Source organism: Homo sapiens, chromosome 7, assembly GCF_000001405.40.
Source record: "Homo sapiens chromosome 7, GRCh38.p14 Primary Assembly".
Taxonomy (NCBI): domain Eukaryota; kingdom Metazoa; phylum Chordata; class Mammalia; order Primates; family Hominidae; genus Homo; species Homo sapiens.
Genome location: NC_000007.14, coordinates 111081924 through 111108415, shown reverse-complemented (window position 1 = coordinate 111108415; position 26492 = coordinate 111081924). Strand labels below are relative to the sequence as shown.

Sequence of the window (26492 nt, the reverse complement as noted above, 5' to 3'; positions counted from 1 at the left end):
AATTTGTGACATTTGTATTTGGAGAACATAGAAAACCATGTAATTTAGGTTAAAATGTATTCTTAATGATTGAAAGTGCCACAGACTTTCAGAATTAATGTAAAAAGCTGTATCAACAACAAAAAGAGCAATAATAAACATTAATATAATTGAGTGTTAAGTACTGAGAAAAGTCCTCTAGAAAATTGGTTTGATGTGGCTGCAGGCCAGACCATGCTTGTTGCCAGCTGATAGTGATCAAATGGAATACATCAACAATCTGTGAGGTTTTTGTCTCCAAACCCAGACTGGGGTTAAGAATCTGCACTAGAAAGTGACACTTACAGAAGACACTGTACTTTAGGAGAAAACAACAACAACAACAATAAAAACAAAAACAGTATTGTAAAGAAAGCCATATATACTCGGTTAAGAAAAAGTTGATGCAAATCAAGACAATATCTGCTGTAAGTTGAGACTGGGAAATATTTTTGGTGCAAAATTTCAGCAGAACTCTAAATCTATGCAGCACACATGAAACTAGTAAAATTTACTTAAAAGTTTAAGCTTTGCATGCTAGAGTCTATAATATTATCTGCAGAATTGGAAATACTACAGCTTGACCAAGAGCTTTGAAATGTTGCAACAGCCAAATGTTGCAAATAAATCTTTGGGAGTTCATTATTAGCCAACAAAATTATTACTCACTAGATCTGAAATAACAAATCTGTGGCCTTGACATTTAATCAGAGCATGAAACGCATCTATTGTATTTCATATTTGAGATTATTACTTTACTAGTGCCCCAATTAAAGCATGTAGATTCTAAAATTCTATTCAGATAAAGTAAAATACAGAATGCTTGTTATACATGCACAGAATCTTTTTATTCATTGCTTCATGTTCCATTGCCCCTTCTTCAACATGCTTATATTGAGTTTTTAATGAACAGAAATGGCTTTAATATAAGTATACAAAGAACTATCCAGAATTTCTTTTTAGAGACAAAGGTGGTAAGAGGTTGAAACTGCCCATATTCCCCTGTGACTGATCAGTTGAATCTAAACTGTTTACAACAGAATGTTGAAAGGAATTTTCTACCTGCTGTAGGGCTGGCGTTGTAATATAAGGCAATTTTACATGCCCATATAATTTAAATTATTAGACTTTATATAAAAACTTTTCTTCAAAGTCTGTCTAAAAAGAAAGTAAAAATGGGAGAGGAAAGAGAGAAGGAAGAAGGGAGGGAAGGAGAGAGAGGGAAAGGGGAAAGAAGGAAGTTTCTGAATCTCTCCCACCTATCTTTTTCACATTCTAGTGAGAGAGATTCTAAGTATTGTCTATTCATGAGCATCTGCAAATCACATTGCAGCTTAACTGTCTCTTCTCTGATTTAATAGAAACTTTGATTGTTTTCTAGGATTTACATCCAGAGTAATTGTTTTTGCATTTTAATATAGAAAGAAGTAGATTGAATACATGCATAACATATTAGAAATGCTATTAAGCAAATCATTCTGCATGGTACTATTGAATGAATGTTTTCCTTTACTCTTCTAAACAAAGCACACATTTCTCCAATTATTTTTAAATTGAGAACAGTGGAAAAGAAATCTATTTGTGTGTTGATTCCATTTTTTTTGGTATGATTAAATGGTACAGCAGAAGTCTTATACAGTATAGTCAGGTACTTTTCCCTGCAAGATCTGTAAGGGCAGTTTTTATGTGCATCCTAGATATACAGTATTTTCACACACCGAGACTTTAATTCCTGTTATCTTAATATTATTTATAAGTCCCTCACATCTCTTAGCAGCCATACTTCACCAACTCTTGCCCTATTTGAGTCTCCACCTCAAAATAGCAAGCCTTTCACTCAAGCCTGGGGCAGTGAGAAGTTCATGAGAAGTTTCCACATGGCAAAAATGGTGATGGTAGAAGACATATCTGTTTTTCATTTTATTTGTTTGTTTTTAATTGGACTGTTTTTCTTAGAGAGTTTCTCAAAACCAGTGAGTTTCCAGAGAGAAGAGATTTCTATTATTTCAAGGGCTGATAGTTAAGATCCTTCAAAAAAGTTGACCTTCCCACATCAGACCAATGTCTGTAGAGTTTGAAAAGTTGTCAAACTTGCCATTAAATAAGGAGAACAATGACTTGTGCTTCAATTGTTCCACATTCAGGGCTTTGAGTGTTCCAGGTACTTTGCTTCTTCTCTTAGTTCCCAATTGAGAAGTAAGTAGGTAAAGGATGAGTATTCCTCCCATTTTATTTAGCATGTAGGTGCTAATTTGTCTGCTCCAATGTGCACCAATGTTGGTATTATATGTTCTAAGGTCCTCTGCTGTATCCTTGGAAAAAGACTATGTTATGTGTTACTGTGATATTACAAATATGTTTCTAAGAAAATTAACTGCCTATTATTTGTACTTGCTCTTGTTTCTGATTCAGAAAAATAAGCTTGCCCTTGCTGGTGCATTAGGAATTGAGATGTTGTGTATTCCTGGGAGTGTCATGCGTAGATTTGATACATACATCAGTGGAGTTAAACTGGCTAAAAGAGCTGTCAGTGATAAAAAGTGGGGATGCTATAAAAGACAATGGCCCTATCACATTCATGTGACTAGATATAGGCATCTCTATCTATTTCTTTTATATTTTTATGGATTTTTTTTTCTTTTCACCTTTTGCATAAATTGTTAGTACACATAATACAAATGCAAACAACAGAGAGCAAGCCCATTTTTAAAGCTATGGGAAAATAGACCTGTCAGGAGATTTGTTCAATTTAGGATAGGAGGAACAACAAAAATACATGTTGTATTTGTTTCTTAGAAAGTACTCTAAGGGTGTTTTCCCCCCAGCCAGCTAAATTGCATGTGGCAGTTGCTACAGCAACCCATTTTTGTGATTTGCAGAATAAGGGAGCAAACCAGATGTAAATTGTCCGTCAGTAAGTTTCTGTTGTCATGGAAGATGGTAACGTATGCAGTCTCATTTGGTCAATTTATGTACTGTTGTGGTGTATTGTTCTATCTGCTCTTTTCAACATGCTGTCATGAATTAGTATTCCATTCTTTGGATGCATAATTTCGGAGTTTCTGAGTTTTATACATGATGTTAACTGAAATAACTAGATGTCAGATTCATAGAAGGTTGTTGCAAAATGAAGGTTATTTGACATCTGTTTTGTAATTTTTCAGCCTATTGACATAAGAATTCTTTATTTCATGAAGAAGAATCAAATTAATTTTTAAAGGGCACTTCAAAGGTTTTGTGGTTATTTTATTTGAAAACACATATTTACAGTCTACAGAGTTAAGAATATATTTTTGTCTCAATGAGACCTTTAGTAAGGAAATAGGAAATAGCTCTGGACTGGGAGCTTCTGGAATTCTATGGTCATGCCTCTCTGCTCTTTGCATTCTGGCAAGTAGATTCACATTTTAGACTCAAATCACTTGTAACAGCCATTATATTTGGAACTCCCCATCTCTTCTTTTTGTTTTTCTTCCTCTTTTGTGTGAGAGACTGTCCCCTTCTCTCTGCTTTCTTTTTCTGTCTTCCCCACTGTTCTAGAAGCCATGACCCTCTCGTTCTAAATAGATTTTGCCCTGCTTCCAATGAGATGCGAGGCTGGGTATTTCTATGCATATTTTTAATTTGATAGGAAGTGTAGCTTACAGCTTATTGTGAATACATTAACATCTCATCGCTTGTGACAAGTCCTTCACACTTTTCATCCCTGCTATTAATTTTCCTTTTCTCCACATTTAAAAATTTTTCTTTAGCATTTGCTCCCCGAATCAAAAAGACTAGATAGGGGGATTAATGATGAGACTTTTCTGTTATTTAGCATGATTTACAACTATTGCTGGCAACCATACTAAGTAGTTTCACATATAATGTCCCCTCAGCCTTTTAAAAAATTGATATCAGCTTCAATAGAAGTGATGGTATTAGTTACTAAAGTGACATCATATCAAAATATATAAACATGGAGCATTATCAACAGAAGTGAGAACAATTTCTAGAACAAAATGTAGAGTTTGGTAAATCTAAAGCAGATAACAAAAGAAATTGTTTCATTCTCTACAATAAATTTGAACTGTGGATTACAGAAGTAAACATTTACAGGAAATTGGGACACAGAGGGAGTGGGAGAAGGAAAATCATATGACTTTTGTCTCTCCCCTACCTGGAGTTTCATCATTTCCAACTCTGCAAAATTGGCTCAAGATGCGAATAGTAAAGGCAGGTATGTGCATGCATGAATGAAGGAAGGTATCCTCCAGCAAATTTGCCTTTCAAAAAAGTTGCCTGAATATAGGCCCAAACTCAGAGATATGAAGAGTTGTTATGCTGGGGAAGTGAAAATGAAAATGTAACTTTTCATTTCACACACATATTACAGGAGTACCACTTTTCAGTGTTCCCATTTTGTTCCACATTTAACCCTAAAATTTCTTGAATTGCCAATACAAATGCCTTATTTTGCTCTCTGGTACTCTCAAAATGGTGTTCAATAGAAGCAGCCTAGTCATTAAGGGATCAGGCATGGACTCTCGTTCTTTCTGTGCTGCTGCCATGTCATTGTTTCCTCATCTACTGAAAGGTGAGTGATAATGGTACCTACTTGAAAGGAATGTTGTGAAAATTAAATAAAATAATGCGTTAAAAGTTCATAGTATAAAAAAGTTCTTCTGCACCCGACACATACAGAGTGGTTACTAAATGTTAATCACTATCATATTAAGAAGTCATCATACGGATAAGAACTCATTAGAATTTGCTGTAACTTAAACTTACAGGTGAAAATATTGGAACAGGAGAAATGACAGAACAAAATAGAACTACTTAAATGTCATTTGGCTCTGATTATCATAAAAGGTTGTAGAATTTTACTTGCCTAATCGATATTTTTCTGGTTATTTCTGTGAAAATAATTCTAAAAATGTATCACGCTATTTACCATGTTAGTTATATGACATGTCTTAGAAGAAGAAAAAATCCTTGGAAAGCAGGTGCAAATCAGTGTGGCTAGACTTAGTTAAATATTTATAAACTGGTAAAAACTATTAGCAGTTGGCAAATATTTGAAAAAATCCAATATTGGTCTGTGTGTGAAAGTGTAAATGTATACGTGTATGCTTGTTGGCAACGGAATAGATAGAGATAAAGAAGTACAATTATTAACCATAAATCTGCAGAAATGCTAATACAGGTTTTTTGAGATGATGGAGTAATGCAGTTGTTATTTCTTGAGATATAGTTACATTTTGCAGGAAACAAAGTCTAATAGATATTGTTAAAATTTAACAACATTCATTAGTACTCACGCAAAATGCTAATTAGAGTACAAATAAGAGAGAAATGAAAACTGTGAAGTCACTATGATCAATGGACACTGTAGTCTTAAAAAAGACCATGTTATTGTCAGCAATTTTTAAATTTTAGCAACTCAAGGGCTTGAGTGCTCATTGTCCTATACTATATGGTCTTTTAAGGGGAAATTGGGACATTGGGGTTTTAATTAACGTTTAAAAAAATAAGTTTACAATGAGATTTATAATTTCAAAGATTGTAATTATTTTATACATATTATGAAGTCTTTTATGACCCTAGCAAAGAGGATTAGTGAAGAATGGTTTCGGAGCTTTTTAAATTTGAGATGGAATGTCCCAGAGTAGTGGAAGTTTCTAATAGAATAGCACGAAGAAGCTGGATTATTCTATTTATTTTTTAGATAGGTATGAAACTTCAAACTTGCTATTTCTGTGGTTTCCATTCTTTTATTATACTTGTGGGCTTCCATTTAGTAATTTTTCTCTCTCTCTTTTATTTGACTGATTTAAACAAAACAAAATAATGCTTCAGCTAAAATCACTTTAGGGCAAAAATTCAAAACTCCAGACTCAAGTAATTAACATGTTTGATGTAAAGCAGCAGCAACACATTACTGTCAATAAAATGACAATCTAAAGAGACATCTTGAAAACTGACTGGATGACAGTGAATTGTGCTTCTGCTAAACTCCAGCAGCTAAGAGGTTCCACAAATATGGGCCCTTCACAGATAAGGCACTGCTGAGTTTCTCTATAGGGTTGAGTTTGGGAAGTTTTGGTCATCATGATGCATTAAAAAAAAGAATGATTTGACAGGAGCATATGGTCCAAACTTTTTAAAACTATAATCATAGTCAATGTGCTATGAAATACCCACTGGGTAAGGATTGAATCACCTGGTTTTGGTTCTAATTATGTCTGTAAGTCACTTTGAACAAGTGACCTAAAATCTGTAAAATCTATCCCAATATAGGGATTTTGTTATATTCTGACTCATTTTTTTTTTTTAAAGAAATTGACAGGCAGTGTAGAGTTCACTCATTAATCATATTGGCGGCAGTTTCTGCATGGCCCTCATTTGAGTTCCATATGGAGTGAGATATAGTGTATGAAAATTAGAGTTCATGAACATGTGGGCAGAAGAGTTTTGTCCATTTTTGGTAGATGTTTCTCCTAAGGATACATAACCTAGTACTCTACAGATATCACCTGACTGCCAAGAAATGACTGTGGATGGTATACCTTTTTAGATTGGGGGCAGTAGAGATAGGAACTATGTTTACCACAGCCTTACATTATTACATATTAACTGAGACTATTTACTTTGAATGTCCCAGTCAGGTCCCTTAAAATCAAACCCCTAACTCATTTAGCTATACCCTCTTCTCAGTCTTCTCAGGGAAGACACAAGACAATATACCTATTGAACCTTTATTTTTCTTGTATATTTCACAGGAAATATACAAGACAGTATACCTATTGTACCTGTTGTACCTATGTATATTCTGTATTAATTCGAACGATTGTCTCAAGTAATTTTTTTTTTTACTAAATCTACAACAAAAATGGTAGACAGTGGACAAAAGAAAAAGACTTGAATCTTAACCCAATAATTCTGTAACTTTGTGCAGAAAATAAGTATGGATTCTTAGGTGTTACTCTCACAGATTCTGAGATCATACATTAAAAGTACCCAAGTGAGTTTGGTAGTACATCATCACAGACACGAATATATGATTCTGCTTGTTGTATCTTATAGACATTATCGCTTATCAGTATGCCAAGGTTCTGTTCAATGACTAGGGATGTATCTATATCATGGTCATTGATTAAATGACCATGAGATGAAATGTCTAAATGAATAAGTGGTAAGATATTATCTTAGAATATTTCTTCTTTCAAAGACATAAAAGTCTATATCAAGTAAAATCCAGAGCAGCAGATTGCTTAAAAACTAAATATGATGATGTGAAAAGAAAGCACCATGCTTAAATGGGGTTGAGAATTCGATATACTGCTAGCAGGTGTGGAGGCAGAATGTGGTGATCAAGGAGGAGGAGTTACCATTCTGGACAGGAAAAATTCTTTATGGGGGAATTTTAAACTTATAAATGTTCATCATCTTTACAAAATATAGAAAGATATTTAAAAGTTTTCAAATATTTTCAAAACTGGTGAGCAACATTCAGGGCTGAAAGAATAAGGTTAAAACATTGTTCTACTTGTTCAATTTGCAAGATATTTATGGTCAATAAAACTTTCCTTATTTCATTACTGATTTCCATTCCCTAAGAAATGATAAAGATCTTAGATGTTCATAAATCCTCCTGGAATTCAACCATGATATTTTTACATACATTACACTTCTAAAATTACAAAAACAAAAAAACCTTAATCCAGTTCAGCCAGAGCCTAAATTTTTATCTTTTGGCTCTATGCATTTTCAACAGATTAATAAGAATGTTTAAGTAGAAAATCCACAAGTAATACTTTTAGATTAGTTGAATTATATTAAGTGTTCATTATCATTATATTATTTATTAAATAATATTATACTAATCAGGTTGTACCATGTGGTAAAACTGTAAAGTTTGATGCACTTATTGTATTTATTTTAAATCTGTATATGTTATAAATATTTTAATATATATTTTCATTACATATATTTTATTATATATAAAGTTTAAGCATATTATTATATATATATACTCCTGATCTTGGCTGAGAAGTTTAAAACTGTAGAAAGAGCCTGTTGTTAGATGCTTCTGCATAAAAAGTCAAATGCTTCTCTAAGGATAAATATATTATGCTTATTCTAAGAAATATGTGATAAGGCATTGGGTACAGTGTACACTGCTTGGGTGATGGGTGCACCAAAATCTCAGAAATCACCTCTAAATAATTTATTCATGTAACCAGACACCATCTGTTTCCCAAAAAGCTATTGAAATTTAAAAAAAAGAAATACATGCTAAGGAAGACACCATAACATGGGCTTCAGAGTCAGACATTCAGGGTTCAAATCAGGACCTTTCCAATGAGTGAAGTTGGGCAAATGCTTCTCCATTTCAAGCCTCAGTTCCCTCATGGAATCAAAGTGAAATGAGGTGAGTTGTACAAAGAGCTTACCCAGGGTCCGGGCTGTGGAGCATGTTAAATAAATGTTGCCCAACATCTTCCTCTTCTTTCTCTTTCTCCTCCTCTTCCTCGTCTTTGTTGTATGTAAGAAGTAGCAGGAAAAAAACCCCAAAAGTTTAATTTTAAATTATACATGTCCTTCTTTATTTCTTACATGTTAGGTTATTCATGATTCACAATACTTTAACCTTTTATCACCTCAAAATTGAATTTCTTTTTTTAGTTGTCTAATTGCTTATAACTTTCAAAAAAAAAACTTCATTTTGAATAGAAAATGTATGTTGATGTGAGCTCTCTAAACTCCATTTTTAATCACTGGAGGAATCCTCAGCAACATTTTTGCTTTAATTTTACATTCAGATTTTGTTTTGTAGGACAGTCAAGTTGAAGGACTCCCCTGATAGCCCTTTCAGGAGGTGACATAGCAAGAAATGCTGAAGTTTTACAAACAGCTAATATAGAACGCTTCTACTAAAGTTTTAGGTTTGGCTCAGCATCCTCAGTTTGAAAAGCAAATTACAGCTTTCATCAATTAACTTTGCAGGGCTAGCAGCTTATTCATACTGAAGAAGATTGATGAATTTCATTGAAAATTGATGCTCATAGTAGCAATGAAATTGTATTCAGACTATTTTCATCTTCATCATTTAAAAGAGAATGCATGAGGGGAAAAAAGTGTCTAAAATTTGGAACTAGATACAAGGAAAGCTTATTATAAATAATGAAATTTGAGACCAATGAGCTAAGTTTTGCATTTTTCTTTTGTGTCACTTATTATACTGCATGACCTCAGGTGAAGAAGTATGTTGACTTCCACTCGATGGAAAAATGATGATAGAGGAAGTTATAAGCTGCCAGTTCACAGGTCTAGCTGTGAATTGAACTACAAAAAATCATTTTAGTTAATCTAGTGGATAGCAAAACTCAGATATAAATAATTAAAGCATCACTCCTTTCTCAGAAAGAAAAGAAGAATCCTACAAAGGTATAATATTCTAGTATGAGCAGAATGCATGATATGAAACTAGAAACAGAGTTACTGTATTTTGATAGAGAATCTGACTCTTGGAAGGCGATATCAACTAGCTATATTTAGGCAGTACCAACGGGAGGCAGTGTTGCCTCATGCACAAAGGCTTGTTCTTTCGAGCTAACTAACCTAGGTTCCTTTTCGTGTTCTTCATTAGTTATGGCAAGTTACTTTTCTTCTCTAAGCCTTATTTTTCACGTTGGTAAAATGGGTTAAACATAGCGCTTACTTAGTACGGTCGTTATGAAGATTAAATGAGAAAATGTATGTTAAGTGCTTAGCATAATGTTTGGCACAGAAAATGCTTGTATGTTGTAAATGAGATCTGCCAGTATTATTACCATTCCTTTAGCCAGTAAAGGATTGTCTAAGAGAGATGATGTGGTTTGAACGTATAAGGGCTCTGCTTACATTAATTTATGTCAGAACATTTGTTTTAATTCATCATTACTTTGATTATTTTGCCCAACAGCAGCATATTATGGTATAATTTATAGCCTAAATATAAAAATGAGACTTTGATATTTACATAAATTTTGCTTCCTCATTAAAAAGTAATTGATTGAGGAAATGGTTTGGAAAATGCCTCACTGATTTTAAAAAGTTAGCTGAACATCACCTTATGAAACTCTTTCAACAACTGTGGTGTTTGTGTAAAAAATACGTGAGTAATAAATGACAATAAGAGGAACAAATATAAACTATGTGTTTGGTAAGTGAGTCAGTTCAGCTAGTCACACAACAAATTGACTTGGATGATGTTTATATCTTATAATGGCATTTTATATATTTTTCATTCAAGAATGACTGTGAATAGAGCTTTCAAAGTTTATATGTTCTTAGAGTATGTTTATCTTTCATATATGGCAGTCACCTTGTTTTGCTCTTTCCATTCTGTTCTGTTGCACTTTCTTTTCAATGCTACAGCATTGTGACCTAGACACAATTCTCTTTTCGCTTGCTCTATCTTTTTTGTTCTCAATGCCTTGGGCACCTGCAGTTTAAGGTCATTAACCCCTTGGCCTTTGTAGAAATCAAAATATAATCTGTGTAGATATATATTGAAATTATTTCCTGCAACTATTGAAATTTCAGTAAAGGTCATTGTGGTTCCATGTATTCTACAGATGTTGAATACTTTTTGTAGAACATGTTCAGTGTTTGGTATTTCTGAGTGACTGAGTTTTGATAAAAATAGAATTAAATTTAGACCCCATTAACACTCCATATTTCAGAGGCATATAAATATAGCGATACAGTAAACAGTCTAATGACATAAAAACATGAATTGTATGTTTGAAAAATACATGTCTATTTTTAACATTTTTTTGTTTTTTTTCCTTAAGAAAGGTAAGCTGAAAGTTAGTTGACAATGTTATTTAAATGCTTTAATCTCTCAACATTATGAGACTATAAATTATAGAACAAATGTTACCCCAAGGAATGAATCCTCTAAAATATTTGCCTCTATTTCATTATAGTCGTTATTAATTTGATAATTTTAGAAAAAAGTTATAAGTCCAAATCAAACCTGTTTATCACAGTGAAAACGAAGTCTCTTAAATGTCTTCTATAGTTAAAATATCTACTATTATTCATGTCACTTGTAAGTGTTGTGAGTCCCAAGCTTCACGTTAGGGGGCTTAATCCCTGGAGAACACATTCTGCTGTTCCTGAAGTCCTGTTTTGTACCAGTTGGGAAACAGTGCCTCTTCCATTGTTCCTCAGGGAATTAGATCCCAGGAGCTTCAGGCCTTTGGAAATAGAGAATGTTGCCTATTGATACTAACCTTTAACTGATTCAGTGGGCCTTTTTTATGCAAACATGCAAAAAGTGGTGATGTTTACACTCCTTCCCTGAATAGAGTAGCTGATTATCTGTGGAATGCTTCACCTCCTGGAAGTAAAGCGTGAAATGACAAACTTTAGAAGATTTTTTAAAGGGATTTTTATTCATTTTAAGGTCTATATTACTTTTGACAGACACAATCTCCCCTAGAAAGGGCTCACAGAATAATGTATGTAAGTTTACTGGCATTTTGACTTTAGTAGTTTACAAATATACCAGTTTACTTTCAAATTAACTAGTATTTTTATCTTATTTAGTGTGTCATTTTCAACCCAAGACAAACCAGAAAGGAGATGCTAAGGAAGTTGCTTTTATGTTGACACTTGATCCATTGGGGGTTCTTAAGTGACTTTGGAGACTTTGTTCATAATTTTTAGTAACCTGGAAAATCCCTAAATAATTTACTCATCTCATTTTTTCCAGTTTTTGAGACCTTTGCCAAGTGTCTGTTTATCAAAGTGCTAATGCTGTCAGACAAACATATGGATGAGTAGGTAGAACAACATACAGTCTTTTTCTCCAAGAATAGATGTTGGTTGTGGGTTTTGTTTTGTTTTTTTTTTTTTAAATTTAACTCAGGCATAGCAATAGCTGTGATTTAAATTAAGAAATAAAGATTTTAATTTGCAAGAATCTATCCAGATATAGTGTGGTATGGTACAAAGGACATAGTTGTTGGAAGGGTAAGATCTAGAGTGGAAGTTCCATAAAAAGGGAACTAACATTTATTACTAACTTCAGAAATGCCAGGGACCAGTGCTGCACCCATATTTTCTTCTACTCTCTGGAGTCAGAGACCCTTGCACCTCAACATGCTAGCAAGTCTCTAACCTCACAGAACCTCATTCTCCTGTCTTAAAGATGTTAATCATCATCATATCTACCCTACTTCACCAGATTGTTGTGAGGAGCAAAGTAATTGTTGAAAAATTGCTCTGTAAATGGTAGAGCTTTAAACAAATATTCACAATTATTGTGTTTATATTTTGTATCCTTCTTACAAGTTGAGTCAATTAATTACTATTATGTTAAGCAAAATTTGGAGAGCACATTTAAAAACAGAGAAATTTGCCCAAAAGAAAAGAATAGGATTGTGATATTAAGGAGATATCATTGCCTACTGGAGCTCTCAGTCTGACTCTAGAAATCAAAAAGTAAGTTGGGATGGGGTAGGGGAGGGAGAGAGGGAGAGGGATTGCTGTCCTGATAATATATTTATTGTTTTCCAGTGAGATGTATAAGCAAAGCATGGATCCTGAGAGTGGACACTGTATATAAAAAAAGGGCACATGTTAAGTGCCTTAAATTATTTACAGTGAAACCAAGTAAAAACAGATGTGGAAAGCCTCTTCAGAATTCTTGGAAAACCTTAAAACTTATAGTGGATGATCAATAGCTGAGTCTCTGTAGGTGAAGGATAGCAGTATTATTATTAACATGTTTTAAAAACAGGGCAAAACTCTAATTTTTATGACTTTACAGAATATGGTAAACTATATTCAAATGATGAATTATGGGTTTGAAATATTTGGGTGTTATATACTTAATAAATCGTTGCTTCTATTATTGAATATTGGCTTTTCCTTTTAGAATATTTGATTATCTGAATAAATATTTCTCTTTTTTGTACATATCTGTGAATTTGGGGGGATTTTTTGCACATAGGAGGTTTTTGAGAAAACATTATTTTTGAAAGACCAAGGAGGCAGAATTTTAATGGAATTCTGGAGGAAGTATTGTAAGGGGTTCTAACCTAGGCCTCTCCAATAAATAGCTGGGTGAATACAAAGTATAATGTATTACATTATAACGATTTCAAACCCTTTCAGCCTCAGTGTTTTTCACCTATCAAATGAACATATTAGACTAGCTACTAATGTCTCTTTCAGTTCAAAAATTTTATTCTATGAAAGCATGTCTCCCCTCTTTATTCCCCGTCTCCTGAAGCTGTGTCATGTGTTTTTATTAATGGCACCATAGAAAATTCTTCCCTTATTATGGCCTAAAGATGAATTAACATAATAGCAAGCAGGTGTATACAAACTTGACAATTATGCAAATATAGTAAATGGCCCTGTAGGTACTGTACTTCTTCAGAAAGATTTGAGATGGACATTAAGTCTTCCTTGTTAATCCTGTATTTAATGACCTCTAAATAGCATCTATTGAGACCTTCCATTCCTTTCAACAAGTTAGAAAAACGTTCCGATTTATCCCTGTTCCTTTTTCCCATCCTCTGGCACCAGCTACTGTCTTTATATTAGAATTTGACTTCCTTTCCTTTCACATTGTGGCTAAAGAAATAATTGTTATCATGTTTTACTAGTGACTTCGTAGATGTCTAACAATACATCACTTTATCAGAAGGAGAGGAGAGGAATTCCCTGAGCTCTGTGCAGGAGCTATGTTCAGTTGTTATACAGTGAAGCTTTCCTAAGTACTCATTGCATAGCCAATATCAGAGAGCTTTATCTTTGACAGCACTGACAAGATGTACTGATGTTTTGCCTAGAGTTTACCTGCTTTATTTAGTTTCATGTACCAAAGAGTGATACATAAGTAGCTAAACTCTCAGAACCAGGTCTACATGGAACATTTTAGTGTGCTGTACACATGTCTAGTGTTTCTTCAGACTGGCTGGAGCCACATTATTTTAAATCATTTTAGAGGAGCATCCTTACTGAGGCTAGAAGTAGGAACTCATTTTTTAGTCTACTATTAGCTTTCTTTTAATGATCTCCTTCAGATTCACCAACAGATACCTCACCTCTGCCCATTTTCAGGGGCTGCTAATTAAGTAATAACATTTAACTTACATAAGTGTTTTTTTAAAACGAAACTCCGGTTATAGAGCTTTCTGATCAACTTAGATTGTAATAAATACCATAGTGCCATGTTACACAGGAATGTTACACCCCAAAAAAATTCAGATTCGGGGGGAGGAGTGAAACATCAAACCCATCACATGGCGAAAGCAAAAGATGTTACAAAAAAGGAAAGAACAAAGAAACAGTGAAATATAGTTAGTGCATCATAAGTTGATCACCTTTTTTGTAGGTCACTAAATTGCTGGCCTGGAAGGCTGGTAGCACCGTTTATTAAGCCATTAACAACAACAACCACCACCTCCAAATAAAAAATTCCACCTACTCATCAGCATTCTAACTCAGCATGTTGCCTGTGACAAGCGACACCCTGAAAAAAATGGTCCTTTGAATTGTCTTGCCAGGAAGGTGCTATTTCTGGTATAGTTACATGATTTGGGGAGACTATGGGTAAATCTTCCAGTCATACACAAATGTCCATCATCTGGCATTCGTAGGTGCTGATCAAATCACCAAACTCACTGGCACACACTGAGTGGCAACACCGGGGGCCTGGAGTGTTGGTATTTCTCAGACTGAAGTGGGCACATTACTGATCTCTGTAATCCACAAAATATGTATGTGAGCTTTACTAAGGTTAAAGAGTGAATCCACTGTTCTTAGGTGTCATCTATTGCAATTTTAAAATAAGGCGGGTTAGATTTAAGAATGTGTGTCTGGCATGCAAACTTTCCCTGGAAAAGGTCTAAGAAAAACTGAATTAAATACTGCAATGCTACATTATATAGGAGTTTGAAATCAGAGGGTTGAGTATCTACTTCAAGTCTTTTCCTCTTGGTTAGGAACTTAGGAGGTACCTCAAAATATCAGATCTGGTCTGTTTCAAAAGCAGCACTTTTAATAAATAGCAGAAAAGCAAATAAAACACTTTTTCCTTTTTGTAATAAATCATTTTGGTTTTTTTTATAGATTGCATGTGGCATTTGAGGCAGAGCGAGCAAAGCTGCCAATATTGCAAGCTGATGCTTCAGCACCTTTCATTTTTCTCTGAGCAGGAACCCTCTTCTTAAACTTGTTCATCTTACAGAGAGAAAATCGAAGCCACTGGCATATTGTCAGAGCTGCTTTATTGTCATCATTTACAAAGGTCACTGGAATTAATTGACTTCTTATATTACATGTTGTAAACTGACTCATTTTTTTGACACATTTATGGGAAAGTGGCAGGATCTAAGTGGCTGGTTATTGTCTTTTTGCTTTGGCTTATATTACAAACTAGGAAACCAATAATAGCTCTGAAATCACAGTTGTGGAAAAAAATAACCCACAGTTTCAAAGAAGCTGACTCTGTTAACTGTGTGGTTAGTTGAACTAAAAGAAGGCAGGAGAGAGCTCCAGAAGATGAAATACAAATGCTAGGTTTCTTTTACTGTCTTTCCAGGACCCAGTAAAGAGGGCAGTGAATGTTTCCATGAATATCCTCAATTGGTGTTGTCTGTTTGAAAGCATATTCTAAGTAGCTGGCTTCCCTTTACAAGATTGGAAGTAAAAATTAACCCACACTGAATTCCATGAATCATCAATACATGGATGCTCATAGAGTTTACTGAGAGTAATTCTGTCTCAAAGGCATTGCTTCTGAAACTAAAGATGAGAAATATATCAGTAATATTTATGGTACCAGAGCACACTATTTTCTAGGTAGATATTTTGAACCTTTACTTCTATTTTTGTTTTCACATTATCCCCTTTTCACTAAATTAGGACGGTTCTACTCATATTCATAGCCTGCTTTCACTGAAATTAGAGGCAGAGAAACAAGGACATATTGTTAAAAATGAATAAATTAGAGCCGAATTAAGCCATCCAGCTCAACAACAGCAAAGGGAATATAGCAGTTGGTTAGAACAAACAATTTTCTTAAATAGGAAATGTACTTTAAAGCCATCCTGCTGTGATCCTGTTAATTACCAAAGATTAGAACTCTTCTGGTTCATGGGATCCTTTCACCTAGTGTGTGGCAGTTCCAGCTGCATTAGCAATCAGACATTTGCACTGTCCCTTCAGACCAGCGAGGGGATGTTATTAAAGGGAAGTCATTTACCCCAGTCCGTAAGATGTAGCCTGGCAGAAATTCAATAACTGTTTGTGATATGCTCATTCTGCTACTCTGCTTAGTGGTTTAGCTCTTAACATACAACAGCATTTGCCTTAATTTGCATCCACTGGATGAGACAAAATAAAAATGCCCCATTTGGTGGGTTGATTTCAAAACAGAGAATAATGTGTGATCTGCTTTTCACTACAAATAATGTGAAGAAAAAGGAAAATTGCACCCCATCACCCGTGACTCTCCTCTCCTCTCTGTCTCCTCTCTGTCTTCTCTCTTCCCCATCTCCTTCTCTCTCCCTCTCCTCCTCTCTTCTCCCCCACTGTTCCCTTCTCTTCTGTCTCCCTCCTTTTTCTCCTCCCCCCAACACTGCTTTTTCTCTCCCACTCACATCCTCTAATGGGCATTCAAGCTAGTAAAATGCATGTTGGAGAATCTCACAAACACAGCTAGGCACACACAGAGCCAGCTGGGTTTTGCATGTGAATTTCTTCTCAAAAGTGCAATAAAAGAAAAATGCTCTTAGAATTCAGACAAGAAGAAGACATCAAAGGAGGATTTAGGTGTAAAAACATGATCATCGAAGAGACAAGAAATAGAACGTATTTTAAAATATATGTGTATTTTAAACTTACCTTGAAAAGCAGTTTCAGTGCTAGCCCACCTCCGATGTCCTTGCGTGCTGGATTCCTCAGTTCCTTGGTTGAGATAATCACATGGTTGTGTTCTTGCCCGGTATAAATAGGTGCATTTGTGTGTCTGTGTAACAAAGTGTACAAAATATATACTATAGATATGCACACATGCACGCAATCTTATCTCTCTATTTTAAAATATAAAGGAAGGCAGGAGGCTGCAGCCGGGATTCCTTCTTTTTCCTGGAACTCTTTTTCTCAGTCGGCAGGCTGAGGCTCTCAATCCAGTGAAGAGAGATCCTGTGAGCTGGCTTTATTTTTCCTTGTTTCCATGGTGGTTAGTGGTGCATCGTTCACCCGATCAGTTGTCACACTGACATGGTGCTGCCTGCTCAGCGGTCATTAATAACTGAACACCCTCCACTCCCCAGAGAGGAGCCAATCGCTTCAGACAGCCAAGATGTAGCACTCGCAGCTGCTCCAGTCTGGTTGGCTGAAACAAACTGTCTGTTCTATGACACTGCTGCTTAGGATACAAATAAATGAAACAGGCTTGCATGTTTTCCTAGGTATCATTTTCCTTCTTTTTTTTCCTTTCTGAGGGAATGTTGGGAATTTTTGACAAGTTTTCTCAATTTTAGGTTATCAGTCATTCAGAGAAATATGTTTTCAGTCTGCAAATAGAGAGGACACACTACTGATAAGGATTTCCTAAATATTAAAAACACCTGGTAGAGACTCAAACCTCCAACTCCGTCTCTGAAGTTCAGCAATGACTGCATTATTTAAGAAGAGAAGCTTGCAACTGTTTTGAGTGGCATTTGGTTCTCTATAGATCCTACTTAATTTAGCATATGTGCTTGGTGTTCAATAACACTTTTTTTTTTTTTTTTTTAGCAATGACATTTCTTGTCTGGATTGACCAGATTTTTAAAATAAAGCATATATTTGCCTCTCTGTAATTCACAACATTGGCATTTGAGGGGGTACTTTTTAAAAATATGTATTTCTAATTATACTCACTGACTTCTCTTTATATGATGTAATAAATCTAGGAGCTACATATGAATGGGTACATGTGTAGGTGTGTTTGTGTATCTGTGAGTGTGTGTGTGTATTTAGGATGTATTTTTTACCACTCTGGGGAAATATTTCGATTGTAATAAGTTAAATTATTTAAAAGACTATCTTTATTCTTAGGCCTATTAACTCTGAAAGGATATTTCCCAGGAAAATATACTATATAAGCCATACATGTAAAACATTTTTATTAATTACCAGAAATTTGGAAAACACAGAAACACATAGCAGTGCATATTTCTGAAAGAACATACATGAAAAATCAAAAAGCAGTTTTAAAAATGCATGTTTTACAACCTTAATTAGTATACTAGAGAAACATCTTGTTGAGGAGAATGGAACATGAGGATTAATATATCAACAGGTCAAAAGCAGGCTAGTCATGACTCCAACCCCAGTTTTGAGAGACTACCCTCTAGTGGAGTAAAGAGAAATGGCACTTATTAGATTTACTTAGGAAAAAAAAAACAAAACCTTCACATCTAATTGCTCCTTAAGTGCTTATTGACATGACATAGAACAATAGTTTGCAGTTATTATAATAATAATAATACCAGGAAAAATTTTAAACAGTAGGCTTGTCTTTAAATACTGAATATTTTCACTCTGTAGTTTTCTAGAAACAGTTCCCAAATGTTTTTTTCTATAAGAATTTATTCAAATGAATCAAAATAAGTTCAAGATAAAAGTAGCATCTCATTTAACCTAATACTTATTTCAGAATATTATTGTAAGGTTTTATTATTTACTGGATACTCTAGTATTTACTCAGAAAGCACTGAGTCAGTTCTGTATGTTAGGGATCATGGTTGAGTGTTGGGATGTTGTGTTAGAGTATATTTACATATAATTTAATGTACTTTTAATAATAGTAATAATCATCCTTCTTACCCCTTAATTTTAATCTAGCAAATCTTAGTTTCTTTAATATTCCAAATTATTTCAGTATCTGCAGGATTTATTTCCACATATGGAAGAATAATCTTAAAATTGTGATAATTATTTGTAAAAAGAGAATTTTTATTTATGCCATGGTATCTTAAGTGATTAATTTTCATTGATTGGTATTGACTGTATAATTGACAAGTCCAGTAATCAAACCAATTATAATGCACTCCCATAATGAAGGTAAGTTGTGATAGTCAGATACATGATTAAACTCCTCTCTTGGTTTTTAAATGAAACTGCAGTCATACCTAATATCTTAAATTTCAGTCTGTTTCAGAAATCAAGAAAAAATCTTTTCAGTTTTGATTCAGTTAGAATTGTTAAAGGTAGCCATTTATATGTTATCTTACATTATTTCATAGGAAGTTGTTTTAACTAAATGATCACTCTTTTGAAAGTGGGAGATCAGAGTGCTCTTCCTGCAATTGTCCTTTTAATGTAGGTACATGATAAATTTAAAATATTTTATACTCATTTTTATAAATTTAATATCATGGAGCACTAGAAATGAGATTTTAATGTGAAAGAGAAAATGACTCTGGCTTTGGATGAAAAGGATGGCGATTCTGTTCTTTGACTGGAATTTCTATCTTGTTCCAAGAGCATCAGCAGCTTTATGGAATCAGTGTGTGTTTTGGGTGTTTTTTCACTTATCAGGGCGTTCAGTCCTTAACTGTAAATATGAAATGTGGCTCTCTCCAAAGATACATGAAAAAATTATTTTGGTATCACATCTATATAATGAAGTACCATATGAAGACGTTACATTGTAATACAGTAAGGATTTTAGGGTTTTTGAATTAATACAATTGTGAGTGATCATCAAATGAGAACCATGGAATCTTAGCACACAGTTGGCACATTAAAGCCAGGATAGAGCCCCTCAGGTATTCCAGGTTTTTTCCACCATATTACCCTATCATCTACTGGATGATTGACAGGTCTCTGCTAATTCTTCTTTTCCTTCTTCTCCTTCTTTTCTTCCTTCTTCTTACTCTCCCTCCTTCTCTCCCTTCATTTTTTTTTAAGTTTCTTCCTTTAGAAGGCACTAAAGCTTCAGAGAAATTTCACATTGTAAACCACAGTATTACATGGTTGTACATGTTACCTACATTGTAGGAAATGTCTACAGGGTTTCCTAGATGAATACTGAGTTTTAATGGAAATGTATTGAAATGGTTTTAAAATGTAAATGAATAATTACAACCCTTAAATTATACTGAAAGAGTTTTGCCTTCATCATCAAATAAGAAAATATTGGGTACAGTAGATATTCACTGACTTAGTGGTTGGGATTTTTAACTTGTTTATTGCTATTTCATCAAATCCTGGGCTTTATTCGCCTGTGTGCTTTTCTTAGAAAAGTAGCCTGGACAGTCGGTAGAATGTGGGTTTTAGAGCCACAATGTCTGGGTTTGAATCCTTACCTTGCCACTTCCTAGAGACTCTGAGCATCATGTTAAGTATCATCTCTGTTAAGTATCATCGTGCATCTTGGTTTAAAAGTATTATCTCTGCATGTCATTTTTCTCCTAGAATTGTTATGAACATTAAAACAGTTAATATGTATACCGGGTTTAGAAAAGTGCTGAAATATAGTAGTCTTGAACAAATGTTTGACATTATTACTGGCATTATTATGGTAGTGGTCATTGTTATCATGGTCATTGTTTTCCTCCTTTAACAAGATATAATCTCTCATTTGACCCACAATAGCACTCTTTATCGCTCTTATTACTTACCATTTTTTTGGTATTATAATTGTTTCTGTAATTTTACCTGTTTCCCCTTTTAGCATATAAGATTCTCCTAGAGGGAGTATATGTCTTGTTAAGTTTTTAAGCTCCACAATGCATATAAAATGGATAAAATAACATCTGTCGAGCACTAACATATATTTGTATATTTTATATATATTAACTTCAAAAATATTCTATTCAAATTGGGATTGATATATAAATTATACCTATTCCAGTTGAATTATAGCTATTCTAGTGTTTCGTTGTTTTTTTTTTTTTTTCTTTTTTTAAGATGGAGTCTTGCTCTGTTGCCCAAGCTGGAGTGCAGTGGCACGATCTCGGCTCACTGCAACCAACACCTTCCGGGTTCAAGTGATTCTCCTGCCTCAGCCTCCCTGGTAGCTGGGACTATAGGCGCGTGCCACCATGCCCTGCAAATTTTTTGTATTTTTAGTAGACATGGGGTTTCACCATGTTATCCATGATGGTCTCGATCTCCTGACCTCGTGATCAGCCCGCCACAGCCTCCCAAAGTGCTGAGATTACAGGCGTGAGCCACCGCGCCCGGCAAAGATAGATATTTTTACCTTCAATTGGCAGTGTAGAAACATTGGCTGAAAGAAGCTAGCTTACTTGCCCAATGTCCCAAAACTATTAAATAATGAGGCTAAAATTTGAACTCAGTTCTGTCTGCTTACAGAGCCAAAGCTCTTTCTACTGCACAAGGTACTCAATATTCACTTGTAAAATAAATGAATGCTTGATGGATGGCTGAGCCAACCAATGCAATATAGTCAGCAACAAGGGATGCCAAAAATAAAATACTATTTTTAAAAAGGAATTAGTTTTATGCACAAGACAGTGGTTGCTTTTATACAGTAGTGGTTGTTCAGGTTTGATGACGGAATTTTTATTGCTGTCATGATTTGAGAAGTAGAGCTCTGAAGAAATGCAGTGCCTAGTGGAAAAAATGAGTCGATATGCTCAGAAAGCTAAATACATATGAATGAGTCACTGATGGTGAGGGGCTGACATTGTGCTAGGAAGGTCTTCAATGACTTTGTCCTTTGTGGTCTAATTCTAATAACAGATTAGTTCTCAATTCAGTTAGAAACATGATGTAAGGTGAGTAGTAGTACTACTGACTGTTTGTTAGAATGTTGAACTAAAGCAAGTTGGGTCAGAGTTCTCATTTTCTTTTTCAAAGGAGTTTTGGAAAGTAGAATTGGAGAAAAACAGAGGTTCTTATTTACCTATAGGTTTTGTTTTAATTTTAATTTTTTTTTCTTTATTTTTGAGACAGTTTTTGCTCTGTTGCCCAGGCTGGCGTGCAATGGCATGATCATAGTTCACTGCAATAACCTCGAAATCCTGGGCTCAAATGTTCCTCCTACCTCAGCTTCCAGAGTAGCTAGGACCACAGGCACAAGCCACCATATCCTGCTGATTTTTCTTTTTCTTTTTTTTTTTTCTTTTTTTTTTCTTTGAGTAGAGATGGGGTCTCTCTATGCTGCCCAGCCTGCTCTCAAGCGAACCTTCCACCTCGGCCTTCCAAATGGCTGGGATTACAGACATGAGCCACAGTACCAGTCCACGTCTTTTTTTTAAATACTTTTATTTTAAGTTCAGGGGTATATGTGCAGGTTTGTTACAAAGGTAAACATGGGGCATGGGGCGGGGTTTTGTGCATGTTATTTCATCACTCACATATTAACCCTAGTAGCCATTAGTTGTTTTTTCTGATCCTCCCCCTCCTCCCACTCTTAACCCTCCAGGAGGCACCAGTGGCTGTTGATTTTTCATCACTTAGCCCCCACTTATAAGTGAGAACATGTGGTATTTGGTTTTCTGTTCCTGCATTAGTTTGCTAAGGATGGTAGCCTCCAGCTGCATCCATGTCCCTGCAACAGACATGATCTTGTTCTTTTTTAATGGCTGCATAGTATTCCTTGGTGTTTATGTACCACATTTTCTTTATCCAGTCTATCACTGATGGGCATTTAGGTTGGTTTCATATCTTTGCTGTTGTGAATAGTGCTGCAGTGAACATACATGTGCATGTGTCTTTATAAAAAGCGGTCAAAGGATATGAACAGACACTTCTCAAAAAAAGAAATATGTGCAGCCAACAATCATGTGAAAAATAGCTCAGCATCACTGGTCATTACAGAAATGGAAATAGAAACCACAATGTGGTACCATCCCACATCAGTCAGAATGGCTACTATTAAAAAAGTCAAAAAACACCTTACTGAGTCCTTACTAGATTAATGGGACGCAAACCCACAAAAATTTAGTTAACAGCTAAATATCCTAATCAACTAGCTTCAATCTACTGACGAGGTTGTGGAGAAAAAGGAACACTTTTACACTGTTGTTGGGAGTGTAAATTAGTTCAACTGCTTTGGAAGACAGTGATTCCACAAAGACCTAAAGGCAGAAATACCATTTGACTCAGCAATCCCATTACTGTGTATATACCCAAAGGTCTTACTTTTAATGAAAGATACGAATCATTTGAAGAACAAAAGTAATCTCACTATGCCAAGAAATTCACAATCAAGGATGACATGTCAGGAATCAATGAGACAAATTTTTTTCTCTGTCTCTTCCTCAGATTCCTTTATTCTTCCCTATGTTTCTCCTTATATTTCTCTGTAGATCCAAAAAGGTCTCTCATCTTGGCTTTTCTCTATGTCTCTCTCCATTCTTTTCACTCAGGGGATTGACTTTTACTCCTTTTCTAGCGATGTGAAACAATATCTAGCAATATTTCCACAAAATCCATACATTTACTTGTTACTCATACTATAATAACAACAATCATCCCTTTAATCCTGAACCCTCATCTATCTTTCCTTCTCTGTTCTCCTCACATTAAGTTTCTCAGAAGAGCTATCAATATTTGCTACAATCATATCATCACTTTCTACCTACTTTGTCAGTTGACTTTTCTCTGATTTCTAATCCAAACTTGTTACTGAAATTCTGCTTTGGAATCTCAACCAGTGCCCTCCCAATTTGGTTATTGCACATCAAAGCCTCCTAAGTCATCTTCATGCTTGTCTGCACATTCTGTCTCTTGTCATTGTGGGTTCATCTACCTCTTAAGTATTTATCCTAGGCTTGTTCTTTTGCCTACTGTTCTTTATATGCTCTCTTAGATAATATTGTCTCTACTACTATGTAATTACTACTTTCAAACCTATATCAGTGCTCTTGCAAGTAAAATTAATCAGTCTCTTTATCCGTGCATCCATCCATCCATCCGTCTATCTATCTTTCTACCTATCAATCCTTCCCTCCAATTGTCTGGTAAATGTCTCTACTTGCGTGATCCCCAGGCACTCTGTACTCTACGTGTCTAAAGCTGACCTCTTAAGCGCTCCCCTAAACTGGCTTTCTTCTTTTTTCCTTTCTTTTTTTTTTTTTTTTTTAATTTTATTTCTGCTGCTGCCTCGTTACCTAGAGAATTACAGGAACTTTGGATCTTGTGCCTCATATCTTGCATTTCACCATATACAACTTGATTTTACTCTGAAGTTTTCTTAAATTATCTTCTCTGTCTGCTAGATATTCATCGTCTCTTACCTTGGCTGCTGCAATTTCTCCTAACTTCCCTGCTTCCAGTCTCATCTTTTCTAGTTCATCTTTCTTGCTTCCAATCTCATACCTTCTAGTCCATTCTTCCCTTCCTCCACAACACAGTCAGGCTCACACTTGTGTTTAGCAAGCCTACTTCTTACTGTTCACTCTTCATTCCTCAGTTCAATTATTTCTTGACAGCAAATTTAGTATTTTTGTTGTTATATTTATTATTGGTATTATTCAGAAAATAGAAATGATTTTCCTTGAGCTATCCACAAACCACAATGAAATAGATCAGATTTTAAAATATGCATAGCTGTACACATGCAGAAATTATGTATGCTGAAATTAAAGTACCTAGAATAATATTAAATAGCATTTGTTGAGTTTAACTCGATGCAAGACACTGAAACTTGGTAGACCCTGCACACATATGGTTTCATTCTTACAGTACCGTGAGGCAGTCAGGGACTTTCCCCTTTTCACAGAAGAGGAAACTGGGGTTGGTGAACTTCTACAGTTGTCACGCTAGTGAAGAAGGAAAGCTAGAATGCAAGTCAGGCTTCAAAGCCAACAGTCTTAAAACTGTATTTTCTTCTCTTCAGTGATCTTTTGAGGCCCTCGTTCTCCTCTCCTTTGCGGGTTTTATAGCTTAACTTTTGCTTCCTGTGTTTGCTTATGTGTAACCAGATTGACAAAAAATATTCATGGTAGAAGACTAACAATTTAGCTATACCTCATGTTTTTCAACCCCAAAATGTTTGACAATATTTTTATTCTCCTAATTGGATGATTAACATAGTGTGAAGGTATCTATAAATCATTATTCCTCAAAGGCAAACATTATATCAGCTGAGATAATTTTTTATTATTTTCATGTTGGTTTTTATTTTGGATAGTTGTTGTTATTTGTCTGCCTTTAAGAGTCAATATTTAAGATGAATGACAATTGTATTATCCAGCTCTTTTTCTAATTATTGTGTCGTCCTGAAACTAAATAACAAAATGGATCGATACACATACATAAAACTTCAACATTGGTATACATGAAACTACTTTACTATATTTTAAATATATTTGAGACTACAAAAGGCAACATTTGCACCCTGTTTTAATAGCAGAGTTTCAAAGCTTTATTGAAGATGATTGTTATGCAGAAAACTGGAAAATCAGAGTAGTAGTCTTTAGGCATAGAAGGAACAAGAATAGGACAGGCTTAGGTTTTTAAGGTAAGGAAATGTAAAATACAATCAAACAAAAGAGCAACACGTGTCATTTTTTTTTTTTTTTTTTTGGCAAAATCGCTTATCTTTCTTTCCATTCCATAGACATGATGCAGAAAATGAGCAAATTAACCCTCGCCATTAAGAGCACTTCTTACATCTTTAACCTTTTATAAAGGGTACATTTGATTAGAAATGCAATGAATATTCAGTGCTTTGGTCAGTTTAGACTTTGGGGGTGCTCCCCAGCTGTATAATGCTCACTGAGAGCCTATGTGTGAACCACAAGCCTGGGAGAAGCCTGGCTGTCTGAAGGGGCTGTGCTGAAGGCTTTCACATAGTTCCCATTACTAAGGAAACCACTCGTTTTGTCTGAACACTCTCTGAATAGATGTCTCATTTGAAGTCTAGTGCTCAAACCATGAGGATTGCATTATGGAGCTGAGAAAGAAATGAGGAGAACAAAAAATGCTTGAAAATGCCAACAAGCATTCACAAAGCGTTGTACTGTAATAACATTCCATGAGACAGAAGGTGCGTTTATTTTTGCCGCATTCCAAGTTATTTTGGTGTTATAAAAGCAAATTCCTTTGCTTGCCCACGTAATCAAAATAAGAAAAGCAGATGTTCTTCTGACCTATTCTTAATTCCTGCTCTTGTTAGGGTCTCACTGAGAAGTGTGACATATAGAAAAAGCAGGACAAAATATGGATTCTCATATTAATGTAGATTTGCTCCGTTGTACTTTATAACTAAATGGTGTAGTGCTATCCCTGTGCCAATAAACAAACACATGTTCAGAGTCAGACCTCAGGATTTGTAGCCTCCAAATGGTTACTGTTAAATTCAGAATGGCTACTGCAAACTGGTGCTTGGTGCTCATTAATGAGCATCCAACTCAGATTTGGAGTGAGAAAACACTGCTTCTAGGAGACTCCTGCTCCACTCTCCAGCTTCTGCCAACCTACAGCAAAGAAAGCAGCTCCTACTTAAAATATCAGGC

The 26492-nt window shown here is 35.0% G+C and overlaps 2 protein-coding genes across 26 annotated transcripts in view, besides 2 other annotated features; one reads left to right on the top strand and one right to left on the bottom strand.

Moving 5' to 3' along the window:
• The window catches only part of LRRN3 (leucine rich repeat neuronal 3), a 34328-nt gene extending 17039 nt beyond the window's left edge, over nt 1-17289 (bottom strand). The window contains exons 1-3 of one of the 3 annotated variants that reach the window (NM_001099660.2): nt 16912-17289; nt 11283-11389; nt 8454-8535 (exon numbers count right to left, since the gene is read on the bottom strand). The gene's annotated coding sequence lies outside the window, so the exon portion shown is untranslated. The remainder of the gene's footprint in view (nt 1-8453; nt 8536-11282; nt 11390-16911) is intronic. The other 2 variants (NM_001099658.2, NM_018334.5) reach the window with 2 other exon arrangements.
• The window catches only part of IMMP2L (inner mitochondrial membrane peptidase subunit 2), an 899849-nt gene that overhangs the window by 454077 nt on the left and 419280 nt on the right, over nt 1-26492 (top strand). The gene's annotated exons all lie outside the window — the stretch shown is intronic.
• Nucleotides 4333-4432: an enhancer, noted in NCBI's record as "active region_26505". NCBI's record gives its function as "activates an Ori minimal core promoter by ATAC-STARR-seq in GM12878 lymphoblastoid cells {active_cell/tissue: GM12878}" and the evidence as "EXISTENCE:reporter gene assay evidence [ECO:0000049][PMID:35858748]".
• Nucleotides 10698-11625: an enhancer, noted in NCBI's record as "OCT4-NANOG hESC enhancer chr7:110736847-110737774 (GRCh37/hg19 assembly coordinates)". NCBI's record gives its function as "activates a minimal SCP1, AML or CMV promoter by ChIP-STARR-seq in naive H9 embryonic stem cells {active_cell/tissue: H9 hESC(naive)}" and the evidence as "EXISTENCE:reporter gene assay evidence [ECO:0000049][PMID:30033119]".